The sequence below is a fragment of the Homo sapiens genome, chromosome 8, assembly GCF_000001405.40.
Source record: "Homo sapiens chromosome 8, GRCh38.p14 Primary Assembly".
NCBI classification, from domain to species: domain Eukaryota; kingdom Metazoa; phylum Chordata; class Mammalia; order Primates; family Hominidae; genus Homo; species Homo sapiens.
This window is the reverse complement of record NC_000008.11, coordinates 12917111-12923842: the sequence shown is the minus strand read 5'-3', so window position 1 is coordinate 12923842 and position 6732 is coordinate 12917111.

Below are 6732 nucleotides of genomic sequence, written 5' to 3'. Positions count from 1 at the left end.
CATTTCATAAAGAGGAGTTCCCCTGCATGAGCTCTCTCTCTTTGCCTGCTGCCATCTGTGAAAGATGTGACTTGCTTCTCTTTGCCTTCCACCATGATTGTGAGGCCTCCCCAGCCATGTGAAACTTTAAGTCCAATAAACCTCTATTTTTGGTAAATTGCCCAGTCTTGGGTATGTCTTTATCAGCAGTGTGAAAGTGGACTAATATAGCCCTTGTGTCACTTTCATCTATATGTAAGGATATCATGGAATATTCTATGAAATATTTTGTTAATATTAAGATAAATTTGTCTGTACCCTTCTCCTGCCCTAATAAGTAAATGATTATATGGACTTAACTTGACATTGCTTGGATATTAATGAATTTGTTTTTCACTCCATCCTCGTCCTATTCCATTCTGTTATTCATTAAATTGAGGAAATCTTATCCATTGTGATTTCCAGAAATATATCCTCAGCCGCTATATTTCCTCAGAGGTTCAAACTTTTCTCTTCCTATCTGTACTACAGACTTGGTAGAGTTTGAATGTGTTTTCCCTCTGATCTCACATTGAATTATAAATCCCCAGTGTTGGTGGTGGGGCCTGGTGGGAGGTGATTAGATCATTGGGGCAGACTTCTCCTGAATGGTTTAGCACCATCCTCTTGGTGCTGCCCTTGTGAGAGGGATTTCATGAGATCTGGATTTTTGTTTTTTGTTTTTGTTTTTGTTTTGAGTCAGGGTCTTGCTCTCTCACCCAAGCTGGAGTTCAGTGGAGTACATGGCTCACTGCAGCCTCAAACTCCCAGGTTCAAGTGATACTCCCACCTCAGCCTCTACAGTAGCTGGGACTACAGGTGTGCACCATCAGTCCTGGCTAATTTTTATATTTATTGTAGAGATGCGGTTTTACCATGTTGCTCAGGCTGGTCTCAAACTCCTGGCCTCAAGTGATCTGTCTGCCTTGGCCTCCCAAAGTGCTGGAATTACAGACGTAACCCACTGCACCTGGCCAGATATAGTCTTTTCTGCTTTCTCTGTGGGAAGTGCCTGTTCGTACTTCACCTTCCACCGTGAGTAAAAGCTTCCTGAGGCCTCCCCAGAAGCAGATGCCAGCATTATGCTTCCTCTACAACCTGCAGAACCATGAGCAAATTAAACTTCTTTTCTCATAAATTACCTGGTCTCAGGTATTTCTTTATAGCATTGTAAGAATGGCCTAACACAAGACCTCAAGCTCAACACATGAAAAACTAATTATCTTCCCTTTGCCAATCCCACTTCTAGATCTTATTTCTGCTATGGTATCACCAAATTTTTTTGACCCAATTTTTTAGGCTAAAAACCTGTTTCAATTGCCGACTTTACCTATTTGCTCATCAAGTTGTATCAATTCTATCTCCAAGAAATTGTAATTTAGATGCTAATTTTATCTCATTTTGATAGCCACAGTAGATTTTAAATTGATTTCCATGTTCCCATGGCTCCACCCTCCATTGCCCTCTCCAGAATGTTCTTTCTACAACATCAACTCAGTTTTTGCTAAACTGGGCACCTCTAAAACCTCTAAAAATTTTGAAATATGCTAAAAGTTTTTCCATTAAAAAAAAAAAAAAGATAGGCAGACTTTTAAGAAGGATCTCCAAGATTCCTGAACCCTGGTTTCTCAATCAAATACTAATCTACTTACTGCTGTGAAGGGATTTTGCAGATGTGATTTAAGTCTCAAATCCATTGGCTTTAAGATTGAAAGATTATCCTGGTGGACCTGACCAAATCACATGAATGCTTTGCAAGCAAAGTTTTCCTCATTGGTCAGAGAAGGAAGGACAGAGACATATGTTCTGGTCAGCCCAGAACGTAAACCTCCATACTGCGAAAGGGGCCTCTAAGAGGTGAAATCAACCCCCAGCTGACAGCCAGCAAGTAGATCGAGATTTCAGTTCTACAATATCAAATAACTGATTTCCGGCACTATTCACAATAGAAAAGATTTGGCATCTGCCTAAGTGTCCATCAAGGCGTGAATAGATAAAGAAAATACAATACAGCCGGGCTCTGTGGCTTACGCCTGTAATCCCAGCACTTTGGGAGGCTGAGGCAGGCAGATCACCTGAGGGAGGGGGTTGGAGACCAGCCTGACCAACATGGAGAAACTCCGTCTCTACTAAAAATACAAAATTAGCCAGGCGTGGTGGCACATGCCTGTAATCCCAGCTACTTGGGAGGCTGAGGCAGGAGAATCGCTTGAACCCGGGAGGCAGAGGTTGTGGTGAGCTGAGATAGTGCCATTGCACTCCAGCCTGGGCAACAAGAGTGAAACTGCAGAAAAAAAAAAAAAAGGAAAAAGAAAGAAAGAGAGAGAGAGAGAAAGAAAGAAAGAAAGAAAGGAAAGAGTGATATATATGTATTCTTACTTATAAGTGAGAACTAAACATTGAGCACACAAGGACATAAGCATTGGAATAATAGACATTGTGGACTACTAGAGGGAGGAGAGAGGGAGCAGTGATAATAAGGTGATGTCATCTAAAATAAAAGAAAGAAAATGTAAGTATATATATAGTGTGGTATATATATATATATACACACACGTACATATATATACAGTGTGTGTGTGAGTATATATATATATACATATATACATATTATCTTAAGTGAAACAACTCAAAAACAGATAGTCAAATACCGAATGTTCTCACTTAGAAGCTAAACAGTGTATACACAAGGATATCCGGTGTGGAATAGAGACTGGAGACTTGGAAGGGTGGGATGGGGTGAGGGATGAGAAATTACCTAGTAGGTACAATGTACATTATTCAGATGATGGCTACACTAAAATCGCAGACTTCACCACTGTGCAACATATCATGTAACAAAGCTGCACTTGTACCCCTTAAATTTATACAATTAAAAAAAGAGAATGGGCTTGGTGGTGAATTTTCCCCCAGAGCCTCGGAACAGGAACTCCCCTTGGCCCACACCTTGATTTTAACTTCGTGAGAATCTGAGCTGAGAAACCCATGATGCTGTGGCAGACTTCTGATCTGCAGAACTGTGAGCTACTAAGAGAGCTTTTTTTTTTGACAGAGTCTTGCTCTGTCACCCAGGCTGGAGTGCATTGGTACAATCACAGCTCACTGCAGCCTCGACCTCCTGGGCTCAATTGATCCTCCAGCCTCAGCCTCCTGAGTAGCTGGGACTACAGGCATGCACCACCACACCTGGCTAAATCTTTTTTGTATTTTTTGTAGAGATGGGGTTTCACCATGTTGCCCAGGCTAGTCTCAATATCCAGGGGTCAAGTGATCCTCCAGCCTCAGCCTCCTGAGTAGGTGGGACTACAGGCATGCACCGCCACACTTGGCTAAATCTCTTTTGTATTTTTTGTAGAGATGAGGTTTCACCATGTTGCCCAGGGTAGTCTCAAAATCCAGGGGTCAAGTGATCCTCCAGCCTAAACCTCCCAAAGTGCTGGGATTACAGGCATGAGCCACCGTGCCCAGCCACAGGCTTTATTTTAAGCCGCTAAACACGTGGTCATTTGTTACACACAAATAAAAGACTAATAACTACATTTTGTACATACTGAGTTAAGCTTAACACATTTCTTTATTTCAAAAATTCTCAAACGTATATCGATGCTCATTAATGTTCTTATGAGTTTCCGAGAAGGCAATCCATAATGACATGTTTCCTAAACCATACTGACCAGAGCACTGGGAAGGGACACTGTCCTACAAACACCATTTTGGGAAACTTCCTATAGAATCATTCTCCTTCCCTTAATTTAATACCTGTGATGTCTTTCTATCATTTGCCCAATAATATTCAAATATCTTAATTTGGCTTTTGGGGACCTGCACACTCTAGTCTAGTCCCAGCCTACATTTCTAGCTTTGGCCCCTCTCATTTTCCCACATCCAACTGGGCTCGCCCTTCTAGACCAAGTTGTATCAGTTGAAACTTCTCTGACTTTACCCATCTCATTTTTTGAGACACATTCAAATATCACTTTTGTGATAAGTACCCCACACTCCCAGGCGGATAATGTTTGCCGTGCTTTTAAAGCTTCCCTTATGCTTTGCATATAGAGCCCTTATGTTCATGTCGTGTTGTATAATAGTTACAGTTCACCTCCTCCTACCCAACTGTGAGCTCCTTCGGGGAAGAGACTCTATTGCACTCATCTCGGCATCCTTCATGACGGACACGGACATGAGGCTTAATTATCTGTCCCTGGATATATTCCTTTTTCTCTTATAACAATTGAGGTAACATTAACTTGTCTTTAATCATCTACCTCTTTTTTTCCCCTTGAATTAAATTTTCAAGGTTTTTTTTTTTCTTTTCCAGTGGTGACCAACTAGGAGAAGTGGGTAAAGTAGAGAAATGGAGAGTGAGGAATATTGAGGCAATCTTAGGGAATAAGAATGAGGGAAAGATCAACGTGTGAAAAAGTTTCTTTTTTTTTTTTTTTTTTTTTTTGAGACAGAGTTTTGCTCTGTTGCCCAGGCTGGAGTGCCATGGTGCCATCTCGGCTCACTGCAACCTCCGCCTTCTGGGTTCAGGGTTCAAGCGATCCTTTTGCCTCAGCCTCCTGAGTAGCTGGGATTACAGGCACCCATTACTGCACCCAGCTCATTTTTGCATTTTTAGTAAGATGAGGTTTTTCCATGTCAGCCAGGCTGGTCTTGAACTCCTGACCTCAGTTGATCCACCTGCGTAGGCCTCCCAAACTGCTGGGATTACAGGCATGAGCCACCACACCCAGCCTGAAAAAGAGTTTCTGAAACTGAAAATCTAACTACTCTTGTCCCTTTCAGAAGTGCGTCCCCCTTGAGCATTGTTCTCTCTTTCACACCCCAACTTTGCTGCCTGTTTTCTTTTTGTCTCTCGCTTCACAGGGGCCATGCATAACTCTTGACTGTATTTCAGGCTCAGCCCATCCCCACTGCCTGTTCTACACTTAGCCACCTGAGAGTGTTTCACATGTTCTGTGTAAGAATCAGTGCCTTTCTGATATTCAGTGTCAAAGCCATGTCAAGCAAACAGAAAGGGTGCACTATTAAAATAATCCTCTTCCTCCCTTGTTTTTCGATTTTGAAGACTTATTTTAAATGCTTCTATCTAACGTAGAAGCTGATGATGCTGACCACACCTCGCTTGACTTTTCTACATGCCCGGCTGCCTTTGCAGTTAAGCTGGCTATAAGTCTGCCCATTAGAATCTGGGGAGAAGTAACGAAAGTTGCTTTAAGTCTTGGTCTATAAGAGATCCCATACACTCCTTCTATCCTCTCTTCCCCTGCCACAGTGGCCTTGGAGGCCCTGTGTTCCAGAGAGCATGGTGGCTCACGCCTGTAATCCCAGCACTTTGGGAGTCCAAGGCAGGCAGATTCCTGAAGTCAGGAGTTCGAGACCAGCCTGGCCAACATAGTGAAACCCTGTGTCTACCAAAAATACAAAAATTAGCTGGGTGTGGTGGCACATGCCTGTAATCTCAGCTACTTGGGAGGCTGAGGCAGAAGAATCGCTTGAGCCCAGGAGGTGGAGGTTGCAGTGAGCCAAGATCATGCCACTGCACTCCAGCCTGGGTGACAGAGCGAGACTCTGACTCAAAAAAATAAATAAAATAAAATAAAATGAAATAAAAATAAAATAAATGAGAGCCAACTGATCTAAATGACTTTGTGCAAAGCTATTACTGATTTAACACCACCAAAATTTGGCAGGGGGTGGTGGCTCACACCTATAATCCCAGTGCTTTGGGAGGCTAAGATGGGAGGATTCACTTGAGGCCAGGACTTTGAGATAAGCCTGGCAACACAGGGAGATCCCTTCTCTACAAAAAAAAAAAAAAAAAAAAATTTAAAATCAGCCTGGCATGGTGGCATGTGTCTATAGTCTCAGCTACTTGGGAGGCTGAGACAAGAGGATCACTTGAGTCCAAGAATTCTAGGCTGCAGTGAGCTATGGTTGCACCACTGCACTCCAGCCTGGGTGACAGAGTGAGACCCTGTCTCTTAAAGAAGTAAAGCTGCTGAAATTTCAGGGTTTTGTCATTCATATAGCAGAGCCAAGCCACTTTGAGCTTAGCCTGACTTATACATTGAAGTAAATGTACACTTATACTTCAAAATTGTCCAAAAGAATTCACTGGTTGCAAATAAAAAAAGTAAAAATAGAAGATTACTTGGAAAGAAGTCATTCAAGAATCTCTGCAATTTTTTTTTCAAGTGAAGCTTTGTTGTTAAAATTTAAATGCTAAACAAATGCTGTAGACGCTCCAGATTACAATTAAAGCATCGGAAGGAAATAGATTTCCCACGCACAGATATAAATTTATCCAAGAACTAGGTTGTACCCCTTCCAGTATTCTTTCAAAACTCTTAATTATAGAGATTACTAGCTCAAGGAACAGGAGGTTAAACATCTGCTTCCTCAAATGAAGCCAAAAGCCTGAAACAAATTGGCTGAATCATACTTAAAGGAAAGAATGAGAGGCTAAAATTAAACGTCTCCACCAGCATCTCATGCTTCTTCTGATGAAATAGTGTTATACATCAAGTACTTAATGGAGAGGGGCACAGTTAGGTGGTAGGGGCACCTTTGAGAGAAGCCTTCATGAATCAGTTTATTCTGTTTCTCTCTTCACATACACAGTCTGATCATTTCGCCATCTTTTGTGAACAGCTTATAGTAGTTTCAGACCTGAACCCTTGTCTGGCTCTCGTCCTTTGAGAGCCTTGC